The sequence below is a fragment of the Homo sapiens genome, chromosome 8 (genome assembly GCF_000001405.40).
Source record: "Homo sapiens chromosome 8, GRCh38.p14 Primary Assembly".
In the NCBI taxonomy this organism is placed as follows: domain Eukaryota; kingdom Metazoa; phylum Chordata; class Mammalia; order Primates; family Hominidae; genus Homo; species Homo sapiens.
Window position 1 is genome coordinate 132,080,270 of NC_000008.11, and position 19,422 is coordinate 132,099,691.

The 19,422-nt window shown below is 43.4% G+C and overlaps 1 protein-coding gene across 1 annotated transcript in view, besides 3 other annotated features; it reads right to left on the reverse strand.

The window, feature by feature from the left end:
- HHLA1 (HHLA1 neighbor of OC90) overlaps window positions 1-19,422 on the reverse strand; it is a 49,678-nt gene that overhangs the window by 18,790 nt on the left and 11,466 nt on the right. Inside the window, exons 5-10 of the mRNA NM_001145095.3 lie at window positions 18,613-18,693; window positions 15,434-15,517; window positions 15,250-15,333; window positions 9,247-9,330; window positions 7,576-7,632; window positions 7,384-7,470 (exon numbers count right to left, since the gene is read on the reverse strand). Coding sequence (NP_001138567.1) covers window positions 7,384-7,470; window positions 7,576-7,632; window positions 9,247-9,330; window positions 15,250-15,333; window positions 15,434-15,517; window positions 18,613-18,693 — 477 coding nt within the window. The remainder of the gene's footprint in view (window positions 1-7,383; window positions 7,471-7,575; window positions 7,633-9,246; window positions 9,331-15,249; window positions 15,334-15,433; window positions 15,518-18,612; window positions 18,694-19,422) is intronic.
- Window positions 5,383-5,960: an enhancer, noted in NCBI's record as "OCT4-NANOG-H3K27ac hESC enhancer chr8:133097899-133098476 (GRCh37/hg19 assembly coordinates)". NCBI's record gives its function as "activates a minimal SCP1, AML or CMV promoter by ChIP-STARR-seq in naive H9 embryonic stem cells {active_cell/tissue: H9 hESC(naive)}" and the evidence as "EXISTENCE:reporter gene assay evidence [ECO:0000049][PMID:30033119]".
- Window positions 5,383-6,167: a biological region, named in NCBI's record as "Sharpr-MPRA regulatory region 9765".
- Window positions 5,873-6,167: an enhancer, noted in NCBI's record as "tiled region #9765; K562 Activating non-DNase unmatched - State 21:Repr". NCBI's record gives its function as "activates a minimal TATA promoter and a strong SV40 promoter by Sharpr-MPRA in K562 cells {active_cell/tissue: K562}" and the evidence as "EXISTENCE:reporter gene assay evidence [ECO:0000049][PMID:27701403]".

Consider the following 19,422-nt stretch of genomic DNA (forward strand, 5'->3'; position numbering starts at 1 on the left):
AGGCTTTGTGTGAGCAATAAAGCTGTTTATTTCACCTGGGTGCAGGCGGGCTGAGTCCGAAAAGAGAGTCAGTGAAGGGAGATAAGGGTGGGGCCGTTTTATAGGATTTGGGTAGGTAAAGGAAAATTACAGTCAAAGGGGGTTTGTTCTCTGGCGGGCAGGAGTGGGGGTCTCAAGGTGCTCAGTGGGGGTGCTTTTTGAGCCAGGATGAGCCAGGAAGAGGACTTTCACAAGGTAATGTCATCAGTTAAGGCAAGGACCAGCCATTTACACTTCTTTTGTGGTGGAATGTCATCAGTTAAGGTGGGGCAGGGCATATTCACTTCTTTTGTGATTCTTCAGTTACTTCAGGCCATCTGGGCGTATAGGTGCAAGTCACAGGGGTTGCGATGGCTTGGCTTGGGCTCAGAGGCCTGACATGCCTGCCTTCTTATATTAATAAGAAAAATAAAATAGTGTTGAAGTGTTGGGGTGGCGAAAATTTTTGGGGGGTGGTATGGAGAGAGAATGGGCGATGTTTCTCAGGGCTGCTTCAAGCGGGATTAGGGGCAGCGTGGGAACCTAGAGTGGGAGAGATTAAGCTGAAGGGAGGTCTTGTGGTAAGGGGTGATATTGTGGGGATGTTAGAAGAAACATTTGTTGTATAGAATGATAGGTGATGGCCTGGATACAGTTTTGTATGAATTGAAAAACTAAATGGAATAAGAGAAGGAGAAAAACAGGTATAAAAGGACTAAGAATTGGGAGGACCTAGGACATCTAATTAGAGAGTGCCTAAGGAGATTCAGCATAGTCCTGCCAGCAAAGATTATTTATTTACTTCAAGAGTTAAGAGTGGCAGTTTGGGGATAGCACCAGTAGATATCAGCTGTGATGGCTTGCAAAAAAACAGTGTAAACCGGCAGTGTAAACAAGAGCAGGGCATGTATGAGTAGTTGAGAACGGTGAATAGGTGTATGACTAGACAGAAGATAGTAGGGATGACAAGTTTTTTGGGGCACAGTCTAAGTTGGTCTGGTGTCTGGAATGAGAAGCATCTATACAGGAGCCTAAATGGGCTGTACCCTGTAGCATTCCGAGGACAGGCCTGAATTCTGAGAAGGGAAAGTGGTAAAAGTATTGTCCAGTCCTTTTTAAGTTGGTGGCTGAGCTTGGTGAGGTGTGTTTTTAAAAGACCTTTAGTCCATTCTACTTTTCTTGAAGACGGAGGACCGTAAGGGATATAAAGCTTTCACTGAATACTAAGAGCCTGAAAAACTGCTTGGCTGATTTGACTAATAAAGGCTCATCTGTTATCAGACTGTATTGAGGTGGGAAGGCTTAACTGAGGAATTATGTCTGACAGAACAGAAGAAATGACTGCGGTGGCCTTCTCAGACCCTGTAGGAAAGGCTTCTACCTATCCAGTGAAAGTGTCTACCTAGACTAAGAGGTATTTTAGTTATCTGACTCAGGGCATGTTGAGTAAAGCTAATTTGCCAGTCCTGGGTGGCGCAAATCCTCGAGCTTCATGTGTACGGAAGGGAGGGGGCCTGAATAATCCCTGAGGAGTAGTAGAATAGCAGATGGGACACTGAGAAGTTATTTCCTTGAGGATAGATTTCCACGATGGAAAGGAAATGAGAGGTTCTAAGAGGTGGGCTAGTGGCTTGTACTATAGTATAACCTGCCTTTGCTGGTGTGTGGCGATTAGGCCTGGTGGAACTGCCATCAATAAATCAAGCGTGATCAGGGTGAGGAACAGGAAAGAAGGAAATTTGGGGAAATGGGGTGAATGTCAGGTGGATCAGAGAGATACAGTAATGGGGGCCAGGTGTGGTATCAGGAATAATGTGGGAGGCCGGACTGAAGTCCAGGCCAGGAACAATGGTAATTGTGGGAGACTCAACAAAGAGTGAGTATAGCTGAAGGAGCCAGGAAGCAGAAAGTATATGCATCAGCTATGAGGAAGAAAATAGATTTTGGAAGTTATGAGAACTGTAGAGAGTGAGTTGAGCATAGTTTGTGATTTTGAGGGCCTCTAAAAGCATTAAAGCAGCAGCAGCCGCTGCACGCAGACATGAGGGCTAGGCTAAAACAGTAAGGTCAAGTTGTTTGGACAGAAAGGCTACAGGGTGTGGTCCTGGCTCTTGTGTAAGAATTCTGACCACACTAACCATGCCTAGGAAAGAAAGGAGTTGTTGTTTTGTAGAAGATGCTGGGGTTTGAGAGATCAGTCGGACATGATTGGCAGGGAGAGCACGTGTGTTTTTATGAGAATTATGCCGAGATAGGTAACAGATGAGGAAGAAATTTGGGCTTGATTGAAGTAATGGGGGCTGTCTGTGAAGCTTTGCAGCAGTACAGCCTTGGTAATTTGCTGAGCCTAATGGGTGTCAGAGTCAGTCTAAGTGAAAGCAAAGAGAGGCTGGGACGAGGGGTGCAGGGGAATAGTGAAAAAAGCATCTTTAAGATCAAGCACGGAATAGTGAGTTGTGGAGGAAGGTATTGAGGACAAAAGAGGGTACGGGTTGGGCACCACAGGGTGGACAGGCAAAACAATTTCGTTGATAAGGTGCAGATCCTGAACTAACTTGTAAGGCTTGTCTGGTTTTAGGACAGGTAAAATGAGGGAATTGTAAGGAGAGTTTATAGGGTTTAAAAGGCCATGCTGTAGCAGGTGAGTGATAACAGGCTTTAATCTTTTTAAAGCGTGCTGTGGGATGGGATATTGGCATTGAGTGGGGTAAGGGTGATTAGGTTTTAATGAGATGGTAAGGGGTGCATGATTGGTCGCCAAGGAGGGAGTAGAGGTATCTTATACTTGTGGGTTAAGGTGGGGGGGATACAAGAGGAGGACGCAAAGGAGGCTTTGGATTGGGAAGAAGGGTGGCAATGAGATATAGCTGTAGTCCAGGAATAGTCAGGGAAGCAGATAATTTAGTTAAAGTATCTCAGCCTAATAAGGGAAATGCACAGGTGGGGATAACTAAAAAGGAGTGCTTAAAAGAGTATTGTCTAAGTTGGCACCAGAGTTGGGGAGTTTTAAGAGGTTTAGAAGCCTGGCCGTCAATACCCACAACAGTTATGGAGGCAAGGGAAACAGGCCCTTGAAAAGAAGGTAATGTGGAGTGGGTAGCCTCCGTATTGATTAAGAAGGGGACGGGCTTACCTTCCACTGTGAGAGTTACCCGAAGCTTGGCGTCCGTGATGGTCTAGGGGGCTTCCGAGGCAATCGGGCAGTGTCAGTCTTCAGCCGCTAAGCCAAGAAGATCTGGGAAGGAGTCAGTCAGAGAGCCTTGGGCCAGCGTTCCAAGGGCTCTGGGAGTGGCTGCCAGGTGAGTTGAACAGTCCGATTTTCAGTGGGGTCCCACACAGATGGGACGCGGCTTAGGAGGAATCCCAGGCTGCGGGCATTCCTTGGCCCAGTGGCCAGATTTCCAGCACATGTAGCAAGCTCCTGTGGGAGGAGGTTCTGGAGGAACGCCTGGCCGCTGCGGTTCGGGCGTTTGGAAGTTCTTGTGTGCTGGAGATGTGGCTGGGGTTTGTCTCACAGTGGAGGCAAGGAATTGCAACTTTTTTCTATTATTGTACACCTTGAAGGCAAGGTTAATTAAATCCTGTTGTGGGGTTTGAGGGCCGGAATTTAATTTTTGGAGTTTTATTTAATGTCGGGAGCAGATTGGGTGATAAAATGTATTTTGAGAATAAGACGGCCTTTTGACCTTTTAGGGTCTAGGGCTATAAAGTGTCTCAGGGTTGCTGCCAAACAAGTCATGAACTGGGCTGGATTTTTATATTTGATGAAAAAGAGCCTAAATGCTATCTGATTTGGGATAAAGAAAAAGGAGCATTAACCTTGACTATGCCTTTGGCTCCAGCCACCTTTTTAAGAGTAAATTGCTGGGCAGGTGGGGGAGGGCTAGTCAGGGAACGAAACTGTAAGCCGGACCAGGTGTGAGGAGGGGAGGTGATAAAAAGATTATAGGGTGGAGGAGCGGAGGCTGAGGGAGAATTGGGACCTAGCTCGGCCTGGCGAGGAGCAGCCTGGGGAGGAAGGGAGAGGTCAGATGGGTCTGTAGAAAAGGAAGATTAGAAAGACTCAGCGACGCTTGGGGTTGGTACTGAGGGGACAGGCTGGAGGGAAAGAAGGAAGATTTGGGACGAGTTGCACTGGGCACAGGGACTAGGAAGGACTGAGTGTGTAAAAGAATGCCTGGACGTCAGGCACCTCAGACAGTTTGCCTATTTTACGACAAGAATTATTTAGATTTTGCAGGATGGAGAAATTCAAAGTGCCATTTTCTGGCTATTTGGAACTACTGTCGAGTTTGTACTGGGGTCAAGCGGCATTGCAGAAGAAAATAAGGCATTTAGGTTTTAGGTCAGGTGTGAGTTGAAGAGGTTTTAAATTTTTGAGAACACAGGCTAAGGGATAAGAAGGAGGAATGGAAGGTGGAAGCTTACCCATAGTGAAGGAGGCAAGCCTAGAGAAAAGACTTGAGACACAGAGAAGGGGTGGGGGTGGTGGTTCTTGCCCTCCAGAAAAGTAGAGAAGGGGTTGGGGCACAGAAATAAGGGATTGGGGCACAGAGATAAGAGGTTGGGGTGTGGAAATAAGCGATTGGGGGGTTCTTGCCGCCTAGGAAAGCAGGACTTGCCGCTAAGGGTGAAGGAGAAGGGGTTGAGGGGTACTTGCCCCTGCCCCAGGAAAGTGGGATGTGCCGCTAAGGGTGAAGGAGAAGGGGTTGAGGGGTATTTGCCCCTGCCCCAGGAAAGCAGAGAAGGGGTAGAGACAAGGAGAGAAGGGGTTGGAGTACTTGCCCCTTCCCCAGAAAAGTGGGACTTGCCGCTAAGGGTGAAGGACCAAGGCAGGCATCCCTGCGTGGTCTGACACCCTTGAAACGTGAGTGTATAATCAGAGAGGCATCCCTGCAATGATTAAACACCAAGGGAAGGCTGCCTTCCCAGTCCGTGACCGGCGCTGGAGTTTTGGGTTCACGGATAAAACATATCTCCTTTGCCTCTACCAGAAAATGAAAGGAATTGAAATTAAGAGAAGGGAGAGATTGAAGTGTGGTGCCAAGATTGAAAGGAGAAAGAGGTTGAGGGATAGTGAGGGAGGTTGGAGATGAGAGTAAAAAGAGGCCGCTTACCGGATTTGAAATTGGTGAGATGTTTCTTGGGCTGGTCTGTCTGAGGACCTGAGGTCGTAGGTGGATCTTTCTCATGGAGCAAAGAACAGGAGGACGGGGATTGATTTCCCAAGGGAGGTCCCCCGATCCGAGTGACGGCACCAAATTTCATGCGCGTCCGTGTGAAGAGACCACCAAACAGGCTTTGTGTGAGCAATAAAGCTGTTTATTTCACCTGGGTGCAGGCGGGCTGAGTCCGAAAAGAGAGTCAGTGAAGGGAGATAAGGGTGGGGCCGTTTTATAGGATTTGGGTAGGTAAAGGAAAATTACAGTCAAAGGGGGTTTGTTCTCTGGCGGGCAGGAGTGGGGGTCTCAAGGTGCTCAGTGGGGGTGCTTTTTGAGCCAGGATGAGCCAGGAAGAGGACTTTCACAAGGTAATGTCATCAGTTAAGGCAAGGACCGGCCATTTACACTTCTTTTGTGGTGGAATGTCATCAGTTAAGGTGGGGCAGGGCATATTCACTTCTTTTGTGATTCTTCAGTTACTTCAGGCCATCTGGGCGTATAGGTGCAAGTCACAGGGGTTGCGATGGCTTGGCTTGGGCTCAGAGGCCTGACACTAAAAACCAAAAGTGAAATTTGGGGGAATAAGAAGCTCCCAGACAGAAACAGCTTGAAAAACAGGCTCCCATAGAGTTAGCAGGAGGGCTTAATTCAGAGGGAAATCTACCCAGCATCCTTGGTTGCTCCATGAAGAAAAGAAGGAAGTGGGCTCAGATATTAGTTTCACTTTATATCTTCCCTAGGGAAGGCTCAAGAGGTGGCAGCAGTGGATATGACGATGACAGGCTCCTATTAGCCCATAGAGTCCCGTTGGGAAGACAAAGACTGGCCTATAGTCTGGTGGGCAGAGCCTGTGTTGGATTTTGGCCCTCACCTCCCCCAGAATGCATGTAGAATGTGAACTGTCTAATTGCAGGAGTGGCCTTGCAGCCTCATTTCCTCTCTCTGTGCTACTTGGCCCATTAACACCCTGCGTGCAACACCAGCCTGAGCCTTGCTCCCAGATCAACCAGACATGGGGCTAAGTACATCCAGCCAAACTATCACTCAGCCAGGTACTTGCTTTCAGGCACATCAACTTTAGCATCAGCTTGTAAATATGTTCTCTCTTCCTAAGCATTTGTTCTTGTTGAAGGAGCACAAAGTGGGACAATTAATTGAGACTGGCGTGTGTGTGTGTTGAGGGGGGTGTGGTGGGAATGTCATGGAAAGACTCTCCAAATAAATGAGATTGACTCAACCCTAAGATCTGTCCTGAGAATCGGGCAGGTGAAGGTAATCTACCAACTGCCCATTTCATCTTCTTATCAAGTAGTCTTGTCCCATACAAACTGAGGTTCCTTCCATAGCATAATCAAAAGATGCCCTACAATAAATATAAAGCAAAGTAGCCCCTGAAGTGGAGTTGCAGATTTATTGTATCCTTCATTGCACTTCAAGAGAAAGTAATGAAGAGCCCACTATGTGCAAGGCACCAAGGGGAAGGCAGGCTGTGAGGCTGAAGGAAACTACTTATTCTACCTTAAAGTTCCTTTCATTGAGGAGACACACATAGAAATGTCAACTGTGTTGCAACCTGGAGTAACGTAGAGTCCAAATGACATACAAGTGCTGTGTTATGGGACCGTAGAAGACAAAGACTGACTTTTATTGGGGGATATTTAAAAAAGAGGAGGTAGTGTCTAAGCTGGCAATTGACAGGCAAATAGGGTTCTGAAATATGGAAAAGTAGGGAAGGAGTTCCAGATGGAGACAACAGCATGCCCAATGTGGCACAGAGGGGCATGAGGGTGGGGCATGGTTAGGTAGGGACTGGGTATTACAGAGTGGCCAGGTCTCCAGCATGGGGTCACAAATTCAAATATCTACAAAACCCAAGTAGTTAATATGAGAAAAAAGTGGAAGGCAACAGGGGGCAGACAGGACTATGGAAAAGAAGGAAAAGGTGCCCTTCCTAGTGGGGGAATGAGAGTGGCAGTTACTCAGCTCCAGTTGCTTATTGCCATGTGTTGGGGGGAAGATCTAGAATTGCCAGACCTTTTGCAAGAGAATCCAGAAATTCATTTTTTTAAAATGACGAAGTTCTCTGATTTTTAATACAGTATAGCGAAACACAACACCTGAGGGCAGCTTTCAGTCATTAGTGTGCCAGGTGGGACCCTGGTCTGGAGAGTCTATGGGAGGAGTTTGGGAGGTTGGTACTCACCCAGAACACCAGACAAGCCGCTGGTAAATGTGTAATTGATAATGGGATATTTTTCTTCTATCTCCCAGAAGTCAGAAAGATTCCTTCCTGCAAAAATCACACCAACAGGGTCAGATCTTGGGTTTCATCTGCTGGACAGTTTTGTCTATTTCTCAGCCCAGAGAGCTTGTCAAAGAATGTCTAGTGGTTTACCTGACTTTCCTGTCATCACACAGATGAAGATGCAATCTGATTCATTGCTTTGATTCACTGTAAGACAAACGAGTATACAATAAGACTTAGCCATGGGTCTGAAGCTGTAAGTCTTTGATTGAAATGAAAATTAAGTTGAAAGTACCTAACTTAGGATAATATAGGAAAATAAGCCTGACTCTTTACTCTTAAGGCAGTCCTCATTTTCCAATTTCTTTATTTTATTTGGCTGGGTTTGGGGGATGGTGTAGTGGCTAAGGCAGAGTCTCTGAGGTCAGCTTCTAGGGTTACATCAGCTCTGCCACTTACTAGCTATGCAAACATGAATGAATTGCTTGACCTCTTCAGGACTCAGTTTGCCCCTTTATAAAATGGTGAAAATTCAAATCCCACAATCCCTCATTTGTAATTCCCAAATGCCCACATCTCTGTAAGACAACATGTTTTGTGTGAGCTTGGTACCCAAATTTGAAAAATGTGAAGCTATGATAGTTTTTATCTATCCTACTTAGTGTAAAGAGCTGAACGTTTTACCAAATTACTACTAACGTGTTTGATTACACTGGGCTTCTCTGGATGCTGTTGGAGAAGTTACATCAGGTAGGATGTGCACACTTTATTAGATCTTCAAAGCCTGAAAACTTCTGAATTCCTAAACATACTTTTCCCTGACGATGCTGCCTAAAGAACTGTGGACATGGGGTTGCATGTCTCTCATAGGATAACAGGAAAATCCAAGGAGATAATGGGAGTGATGCACTAGGTATGGTGCCCAGCAGATAGAAGAGCACAGTAGCCAGAGTAATCATTATTGTTATTATTAATGTATTACTATGATTATATATATTAGGATAGTGACATAAGAGCACAGGCTAAGAGCCAGATCACCTGGTTTAGAATTCTGCTTCTGCAGAGTGATTTTGAGCAATTTACTTAACCCCTCTGTGACAGTTTCCTCACCTGTCAAGTAGGGATAAATATAGTAGCTGCCCCAAAAGGTTGTAGTGAGGATCCAATGAGAGAATACATGGAAAGCCCTTACAAGATTATCTGACACCTAATGATAGCTGTTACTATTTCTCTTTCTCCCTCCCTCCTGCTTTTAAAACAGTAGCTGCTCCACAGTGCATCACACCGTCTTTCTGCTGAGACCAGTTGTTGGACTGTTGAATAGATCCTTGCTTTTCAAAGTGGGTCCCTAAGGAAATGTGATTTTCCTGGGGGTTACATGAAACCACCTTATAAATGAGGTGTATCATTCTTAACTGTACTCCAAACATGGGCTTAGGCTCCATATAGATTTAAACCTGAATTCTGGCACCAAACTTAAGCAAAATATTCAACCTCTCTGGATCTCAGTTTTGTCCTCCTTAAAATGGGGGTATATCTACTCACCAGATGTTTTCTTGAGTCTGCCTACGTTCCTTAAACTTTTGAGCTTTGGATTCTTCCTCCAACTTTGTGGATCCCAGAAATATGAAGACTTAAATATTGGTGCATTTACTGGTGTGGAAACTGGACCACACTGATTATCTAAATAAAGATTACATGAACGTTTCTGGCAGCCTGGCCTATAGCAGGGGTTGGGGTGAGGAACATAATATGCTTCATTATCTACCACAACAGATGCTAAACCTCAAAGTTGCCAAAGCGTTTTCAAGATGAACACACCTGAGAGGATGGAGGTTGACTTAAAAATCTCTGTGAGGTAGCTGGTAGAATTGCCGATGATATCTACCAGTAGAGCTGTAAAATCTGCAAGACAAATTTAGGAGGTTTAAATTTCTGCTTCAGAGACAAAAGGAGAAAAGTATACTGTGTTTGGATTTTTCAGAGTAAATTTTACAAGTTTGATTTAGTTTAGTGTATTGAGGAATATCAACAATGATACAGAGAAATACTACTAATTCTAAAAAATGAAAAGTCTTGATTTCAGGCCGGAAGGAAACTTTGGATCCACTGTTAAAATCCCCTTTCTTCTTCTATCATCCTCTCTCCCAACCCCTTCTCTGCTAACATCTAAGAGCTATGAAGGGCCACATTGTTGAATAATGGTCTTTCTGGCGGCTTTTCCCCATTGTTTCGTCTAATTGTTTTTAGAATGCCAACTCCATCTGATAGGAAGCAGCCCCACAGATATGTAATGTAAATTTACAGACTTGGGGGTTGGAAAATGAAAATGCAATGTGGAATTTAGTGGTGAGTTATAAACTATGAACAATAGAGACAAGACAAGACACTTTCTAAAATTATCACCAGGAACCTTTCCTTCTGCCCCCTTTTTAAAGGAACTGATGGTGGTGCTGGTGGGGAGTGGTGTCTGAGATAACTTTTTCAGCATTTCAGGTTATAGAATCATTGTGAACTTTCTTTCTCAGCTGGGTTTGAACAGGGCCATTGCCTGACATGGTGGGCACTATTGACTGTGAAAATTCCTAATATTCTTCTAGTCAAACAGCTGTCATCTCCTTCTTTGTTCATTTATGGCTTTCCACGATCCAGCAAATTCTTGACTTCTAAACAAGGCGAATGTGTTTGAGGAGCCCCAGTCATTTTCTAAAGAGGAAGCTTCTTGGGTCCAGTGGATGATTTCCCATCATGCTGTGTAAATGCTCCTTTCACTCATTAATGGGATCAGGAGTTTGTGCAGGAGCAAGCTAACTTGAAAATACAGAACCAAGAGAGGTAGGAAAATGTTATGTGACAATTAGTGGAATGTGTAGCCAAGACCAACAGATGATGGGCACTACTATGCAAGAACCAAAGCCATGAGGTGGTCTTACTATATCCGCACAGGCACATTTTAACCTCCTGGAGGGAGAACACCTATGCAGTATGTAGTATACCTATGCAGGTATAGACACCTGTATATGCAGAAGGTAGGCAAACATGGGCACCCTCTTTCTCTCTCTTTTTTTTTTTTTTTTTTTTTGAGATGGAGTCTCGCTCTGTGGCCCAGGCTGGCGTGCAGTGGCGCAATCTCGGCTCACTGCAAGTTCCGCCTCCCAGGTTCACGCCATTCTCCTACCTCAGCCTCCCAAGTATCTGGGACTACAGGCGCCCGCCAACACGCCCAGCTAATTTTTTTGTATTTTTAGTAGAGACAGGGTTTCACCGTGTTAGCCAGGATGGTCTCGATCTCCTGACCTTGTGCTCCACCCGCCTCGGCCTCCTTCTCTGTCTCTTTAGACCAGTCTGTTCTTAGTCATTTGTGGAAACTGAGGAAGGGTATTATCTCTTAGTTATTCCATATATTTTCTTTCTGCTTCTAAAAATTCTCCTTTGTTTATTAATCCATTTATCTAATAAATATTCATCGAGCATTTGCAGTGTGCCATACACTTACCAGGTACTGGAGAGTTGTGTAAGACATAAAGAAGAAGCTGAGGTTAGTGGTGAAGCAAGATTCATAAACAGACCAATAAAATGCAACTTGGAAGTTGTTATCAATTTTGCATAGAAGCTATGAGCATGGCTTTGAAGCCACACACAAAACATGGAGTCCAGGTTTTGCCCAAGGCTCAGAAAGATGATGTAACTTGTCCAAAGTTCCAGAGTACGTGGCAGAGCTTAGATTTCAGCTGAGGTCTGTCTTGGGCCAAAGCTTCCACTATTCCCGGTATTCTTACCACCACTCATGAAACCTCTTGCTCAATGCATTTTGTCAATTCTCCCTTTAGAACTGTTTTCACAATCTGCTTTTTAGGCTTGGAAGAAAGCCAGTTATTATTAACTCAAAGATATTCTTTGCATTTATGAAAGTTTGAATTATCTAATTTACTAGCAATGATCAAAATGAATGATTCATGACTACCTTCATACATAAATAGAAGGTAGAAGTACAAAACCCTTTTTACCTATCCATTTGGTAATGATTTAAGACTGTCTCTTAACACTCAGTGTTGGCACATGTGAGTGGGAAAACATAGGCATTCAAACATTGTTGGTAAGACTGTAAACGTATGCAAGACTTTTAGAAGACATTTTGGCAATTCAAATCATTATAATATTGTTTCCCTGTCAGCCAACAATTCTATTTTGCGGGCTTTATTCTGCAGAGGTAATTGGGCAAGTACTCTAAGTGATTTTACACAGGTGTTCATCACAGCATTGTTTATAATTGCAAAAATATGAGGAATTAGCCAAGTTTCCAACAAGAGGAGACAAATTAAATAAATCATGGTACATTCTTTCAATGAATACTAAGAATTCATGTGAAGGATGAGGCATACTTGCATTCACTGGAATGAAATGGTTTTTTTAAGACATATGGGTTAGTTTGAGAGTAGATTATAAAATTGCATAAAAAATGAAAGATACTGATGGTTGTCTTTCAATATCGATTCTCCCACCTTCCTTTAGTAAGACAGTATCAAATTTTAATTGGGAACGTGATGGTTTAAAGCAACGACTATAATTTCAAGCTTGCTTTGTGGGTGAGTGTAGCCATGAGATTAAATTCTGGGAAATAGGATGTAAGAGGGAGAAATGTGAATGGTTTCCAGGCTGTGAGTTCATAGTGAATGTGCATGCCTTCTGGGATGGTTTGGATCTGTGTCCTTGCCCAAATCTCATGTCAAATTGCAATCCACAATGCTGGAGGTGAGGCGTGGTGGGAGGTGATTGGATCATGGGGGCAGACTTCTCATGAATGGGTTAGCACCACGTCCTTGGTGCTGTTCTCATGATAGTGAGTGAGTTATTGTGAGATCTGCTTGTTTAAAACACCTTTCCCCTTGTTCTCCCTTGCTCCTGCTCTAGTCATGTAAGATCTGCCTGCTTCTACTTCCCCTCTGCCATGATTGTAAGTTTCCTGAGGTCTCCCCAGAAGCTGAGCAGAAGCACTCATGCTTCCTGTACAGCCTGCAGAACCATGAGCTGATTAGACCTCTTCTCTTTATAAATTACCCAGTTTCAGGTATTTCTTTATAGCAATGTGAGAATGGACTAATACACTTTCCAAATCCTTTCTCCTCTTCATTGTAGCTGGAGTGTGAATGTGCTGGCAACCTACCTTAGGCTATGAGAACACAGATCATTATGAAAGGCAAAGCAACAAGCTAGAAGGAGCCTGGGCCCCAAAACCATCAAACCATTAGAGCAGCCCTGGCATGTCTACATGCCCAGACTATCAGACATGAAAGCAATTAACTTCTACCTTCTTTAAACTAGGCTATTTTGGAGTCATTTGTTATAGTAGCCCACCCTGTATTCTAAATAATGCAGAGAATGGGTTCCTATATGTAGAGCAGGATGTCTACACTGATGGGTAGATATTAGCTGGGGTACATAGGTAGATAGGTAGGTTAGATAAGTAGCTTAGATGACAGGTTGGATAGATAAGTGGGTTATATAGGTAGTGTAGACAGCCTTGGATAGCATTTATTAGCATGTTAATAGTGACTACCAGTGGATGGTGGGATATCAGCTATTTCTGGTTTCTTAGTTTTCCTGTCCATGTTGCATAGCATCTTGATATCACAGTACATTATTTTTAAAATTAAGAAAACTTAAGCCAGTTTCATTTAGGAAGAAAAAAAAGGGAAAATATGCAAATATACCCTCAAAGGAGGGCTTTAGATCAGAGTTGAAAACATTAAAAAGAAAATGATCCAGATCTAAAGATCATCCACAAAGTCACCTTCCCCGAAGGTGTTGAGCAACGGCAAGTTGTTGGCCTACGTGTACAGCCTCTCATGGTAGCGCTGTGACTTCTTGTCAAACCTGGCAAAAGTTGCTATGACCTACCAGAGGAACACCAGGCAATTTTATCAGTAGATAATGATCCATGGATCATTCTTTTCATATAATTGTTGCAAGTGTGTGAAAATATGATTTGACTCATGAAATAAAATTATAAACTTTCTCCAGGCAGATTTAACTTTTTAAATCTTATTTTTATCTTTCACACAATCAGGATAGGGACTCACCCAGCACAGACTTCTATCCTCAGCAGGGGTTAATGAAATGGTGAGAAAGGCATGATTATGAAGAATTTTTTTCCTCACAAATGTATTTGTTGAAGAGATTCACAGGGTAAATTACATAAGATAATAGACATTAAGCACTCATTGTAGCATCTCGCATATAGTACTTATTATATATTAGTAATTCTTTCCTTTAATATTTTCACAATATTTGTTTTAGAAATTCTACTCAGTGGGGGAAATAATCTGAAACAGGGAAGAGTTTACGCACAAAGATGTCCAAGGCAAAATTATTTATATTAAGAAAAACCTAGATCCACTCAAAAGTCTAAGAACAGCATAGTGGCTAAGAGAATGCTTGCATTCACTGGTTACATAGTCATTACAAGTGTTTAAGAAGAGTTTGTAATATGGTGGAAGGGTTAATATTAGACTAAGTGGGGAAAAGTACAAGAGGCTTTGGTTGCCTTTAGTGCTTGCTTCCCTTACAATCTCGTATTTAACAAGCAGCCAGAAGGATTCTTTTAAAATGTCAGATCATGTCCCTTCCCTGTGCAGACAATCACAATGGCTTCCTTCTTATTCCGGGTGAAAATTAGAATCCTCGCAGCAGACCTTAAACTTCTATATGATCTGCAACACCCTCCCCACTTTGCCCTCACCAATCAGAGCTAATTTCCTATAGCTCTGTCCTGGCTAACCTGCTCCAGTTATGCTGGCTTCTCTGGTCCTCATGCTGCTGCTTAGGCCTTTGTCTGGACCACTGTCCCCAGGAACAACCACAGGGCTGGCCCCTCACATCCTGAAGGTCACCCCTCAACCCTCACTTCATTTGGAGAAGACTTTCCTGACCACCCTACACACAGCAATATCCCCCACTGTGACTTTTCCCTCCGGCTTTCCCCTGCTTCATGGTTCCCATGGTCAGGCTGTCAGCCCACACACCATGTACTTGCAGTACATTTATTTACTCCCTGCTCCCCGCTAGGAATCTATGTCCCACGGGAGCAGGAGGTGTGTTCACTTTGCTCTGTGTGCTTTCCCCACACCTAGAAGAGTGCATGGGTCATAGTGCACGCTCAGATGGAATTACTGAATGGGTGAATTAACGGTGCAAAAATTGTCACTTTTATTTTTCAGTATTCTCTAAAATAGGGAACACATAATACTTTAAAGTTTTATTTATAAAACTAGCATATGAACATACTCTCCTTGGGAAAAAAAAGTTCAGATAATCTAAGGCTCTTTTAACCAACATTCTTCCACTCCAAAACACATACTCCAATCTTCTTTTCAAAGGGAATCACCTATCTGGTGCCCACATATGTGTTCTTATCAATAACATTGTGCTCTTTGTATTTTTGTGTAACTTTCTTTTTCTAATTAAAAATCTCTTGGAAGCTTTTCCATGCACAGGCCAAATTTGAGCACTCTCACTCATTTATGTATTATCTGTGGCTGTTTTTGAAAGTTTAATTATGTGGGAGACTACTTAACCATTTTCCCTCATGATGGATATTTAGGTTGTTCCTCACTTTTGCAATTAAAACAATGCTTCATGAACATTTTCCTCCTGTTGCTTTTGCACACACAACTGTTTTTCACTGGGATAATGAATGAGCACATGGTTAAGGGTAGTGGATAGGACCATATTTTCCTGTCTTACATTGAGGAAAAACAAAAACTTATCTAAAAGGACACAAGCAAAATTGGAAAAGCTGCAAGCCTCATGGTAAGCTGTACCCACCTGATAAGTCATTGGTCCGATTGTTTAAACAGTAGCAATACCTTGTGGGGAATTTGGCGGGGTCTACTGTCTTCAGGTTAGAAACTGTGAAGAGAAAGGATTCAACAGAGATCCTAACACACAGACCAGCCCTGCAACACATCCCTACCACCACCACCATCAAGAAGAGCCAGCCAGCACTCACTGTTGTAAACAGCTACAGAAAACTTGTGGAAGGCGAAGGAACTGTAGGAAGTGACACTCAGCAAGGAGAAGAACTTCTTGCTATCTGCCAAAACATACCAGATAAAGAGACAGACAGATGCCTACTAACGTAACAATAATACAAATAAGTAAACAGTCCCTAGAAATTAACAATGCCAATAAAGAAACCAATGATGAAAATAAAGAAACAAACAAAAAAGTAATACAAATAAAAAATAATAAACAAAGTAAAACTAAACCAAAAAGCTGAAGAGTATGTATCATTTGTCTATATTTCCTGATCCATCCTCAAGCTGTGGCAACTCTCTAAGAAAGATTCCCAAGGCATATTAGGCCCCTGAGGCTGCTGTAACAAATTATCACAAACTTGGTGGCCTAAAACAGCAGAAATTTGTTCTCTCACAGTTCTGGGGGCTAGAAGTCTGAAACTCAGTAGGGCACCCTCCCTTCAAGGGCTCTAAAGGAGAATCTGTTCTTGCCTCTCTCAGCTCTGGCGGCTGCCTGTGTCCCTTGGCTTGTGGCCACATCTCTCTCTGTTCTATCATCACATGGTCTTTTCTTCTGTGTGTGTCTCCTTTGCCTCTTTCTTGTAAGGACCCTTGTGGTGGCATCCGGCACAACACAAATAATCCTGGACAATGGCCTCATCTCAAAATCTTTAACTCAATCAATCTGTTATCACATCAGGTGATATTCACTCTTTTGACATATAAAGTAGTATTCACAGATTCTGGTAATTACAAAGTGGATATCTTTGGCCATTTTCAGTCTACTACACAAAGAAAGGGGATTTTTTTTTAAACCAGGAATACTAACATAAACAATCAGGTTTAGGAATACATGCATGAGCATCTTATCTACTCTCCATCAGTGCCTGTTCTTAGTTTATATCTGGAGCACAGTGCAGCAGAGGGAGATCTTTCCAGACCTGGTCTGAGAATCACCCACCTGCATCAACACACCTTTAATAGGTGCACCTATTAAAAGGGCACATTCCTGGATGTGATCCCAGGTCTACTAAATCAGATGGTGAAGAAAGGGGAAAGGTGGGTATGCCCAGGGTTCTGAATTTTAACAAAGTTCTCAGGTGAATTTTTTTCTTTTTTAGACAGGGTCTTGCTCTGTCACTCAGGCTGGAATGCAATCGTGCAGTCACAGCTCACTGCGGCCTCCACCTCTCAGGCTCCAGTAATCCTCCCACCTCAGCCTCCCAAAGCGCTGGGATTATAGGCATGACCCACTGTGCCCGGTCTCAGGTGATTTTTATTCATATAAATTTGTTACCCACTGTGATGGTGGATGGAATGGCAGAATCATTAAACTTTGGTGCACGCAAATCACCAGTGGTGCCCATTCCCCCTCGGCTCTCTGGCTATTGCCCTCTGGAGACCCCAATGCCATACACTGAGCGGGAACCAGACTCTGTATTTAATAAGCTCCTTAGAAGAATGGGGTATACACCAAAATGTGAATACTCCAGTACTCAGTTTTTTTGATGATAAAAATCACAAATAGCACTTGGTAAAAATATACATTTGGGCCCCTTCAAAGATCAGCTGGATCAGAATCTCCAGAGCAGGAACCTGGGGAGATGAATATTTAATAAGTACATCAGGTCCTTCTTATTGTGCAACAAGTTTGGGAAACTTTGGGCTAGATCACAAACCTGGATTAAACAGTTCTGAATTCCAACTCTATGTGGCAATGGGCACGCCTCAACGTCTGCATCTAGAAAATGGGAGTGAGAGTACCACCACGTGGAGGTTATACAAGGATTAAATTAGTCATTGGAAGAGTTTTGAGCTCCTCGAAGTTATGACATTTGAGTTTCTGCAAAATTTCACAGAGCCCAGTGCAGGGCCTTGCAGAGGAAAGGACAGGATTAACAGTTCAGGGCTGGAAGGGCTAAATGTTTTGCAGCCCATCCCTCCATCTGATAATTCAGTCTCTCCACAGCACCCTCTACAGGTAGATCACTGCCTTCTTATCGTGCACCTCCCAAGGCAGCCCTATCCTCGGCAACTCTCATGAGAGCAAATTGGAGGCAGGAGCTATATCTCTGTAATTTACAGCAACAGGCATTGGGACAGGGATGGATAATAATGTTGATGGGTCAATGTCTAAGTGAACAAGTGTAGAGCCACCAAGCACAGTTGTGCAGTGTGTGTATTGCACAATCCTAGGGAATGCCATTTACATAGACCTCAACACTGAATTGGCATTCTCCATCCCCCTTATTCTAAATAACATGTACCATTACCTATTTATTATGTTTATTGTTTGTTTTTGGTTACTCCTTCACCCAATAGAATGGAAGCTCTCCCAGGCCAAAGATTTTTGGTTTTTATTTACTGCCTTATCCTCCAATATTTGGAATAGTGCCTGGCATGTGATAGGTGTTCTATGAATATTGATTGAAGAATGTGAGAATAAATAGTGAAGGCAGTGAGGAATGTACACTAGGGATCATTCAGGCTTTGCTGTCATTCACTAAGTATGTGTTACATACAAATCATTTTGCTAGACGCTAAAGAACACAGAAAGAAGATTACAATAATATTGTCTTAAAAAAAGAAATCCAGAATCATATTAACTTAATCAATGAGTAATTATTGTTAGTTTATGGCAACAGAGTTACAATTACAAACATACCATGTCTGTATTGCAATTCGCTCTCAAAATTCTTGTAAACCTTCTACGTCATTTTGAGTAAGGTAGGACAATGAATTCTGCATTCTGCTTTTGTTTTTGTTTTTTGAGGCAAAGTCTCACTCTTTCTCTCAGGCTGGAATGCAGTGGCATTACCACAGCTCACTACAGCCTCGACCTTCTGGGCTCCAGCAATCCTCCCACCTCAGCCTCCCGAGTAGCTGGGACCACAGGCATGCACCACTGCACGCAGCTAATTTTTGTATTTTTTGTAAAGATGGGGTTTTGTCATGTTGCCTAGGCTGGTCTCAAACTCCTGAGCTCAAGCAGCTTCCCAAAGTGCTGGGATTACAGGCGTGAGACACTGAGCTCAGCCTATTCTCCACTCTGAACACCGAGAAACTGACACACAGAAGTGAAGTGTCTTGTCAAGGCAACAGAAAGGTTCAGAAAAGACACTGGTACAAGAAAAAAAAATGGACCTGGATTGTGCTTTTAAAATATGATTACCTTTTAACGCTCTACTGAGCATCCCATTCACAAGCTCTGTCAGGTTAAGCGCGGACAGATCGATTGACCTTGCGGGCAGCTCTGAAAGAGATTCAGAGATAATGTCACTGGCAGGCTTTTCTCGGCAAGAGAAAAAGTTTCTCATTTCCAAACTTCAGGCAGATATTCAACTTCTTTGCACATGTGCTGAAAACAAACCAAGTGCCAGGCACGAGGGGTTCCAAGTTAAGTTAAGAGGAGGGTCTCGACCTCAGGAGGTAACAGTCAACAAAGTGACAAATATAGATAAGAGAAATTCCAATGAAGCACAGGAAACATGAACTTTTAGTGACAATTGCATCTCTGCATTTGGAGAGACTCGGGACTCATATAAAAGGTATCTCAAGCATAATGGGAAGCCCAAGGGCATTGCAGGAGTTCTCAGCAGCTCTGTGTTTGAAAATAAGTACCCCATGTAAACGTGGGGTCCACACACCCTGGCTGAGCATTGACATCACCTGGAAATATACATTTTTTTAATTACACAATTCCAGTACCTGGCCTTCATCTTCAGAAATTCAGAATTAATAGGTCCAGGATGTGACCCAGAATGGAGGGAGAAATCTCCCAGGTGTAGCAGGAGTGGCAGTGTGCAGTGAGTGGAGTTAAAATTCCCACTTCCCCCGGCTATTCCTTAATGATTTGGAAACTGGCCAGGAGCAGTGGCTCACGCCTGTAATCCCAGCACTTTGGGAGGCTGAGGTGGGTGGATCACATGGGATCAGGAGTTTGAGACCAGCCTGGCCAACATGGTGAAACCCCATAGCTACT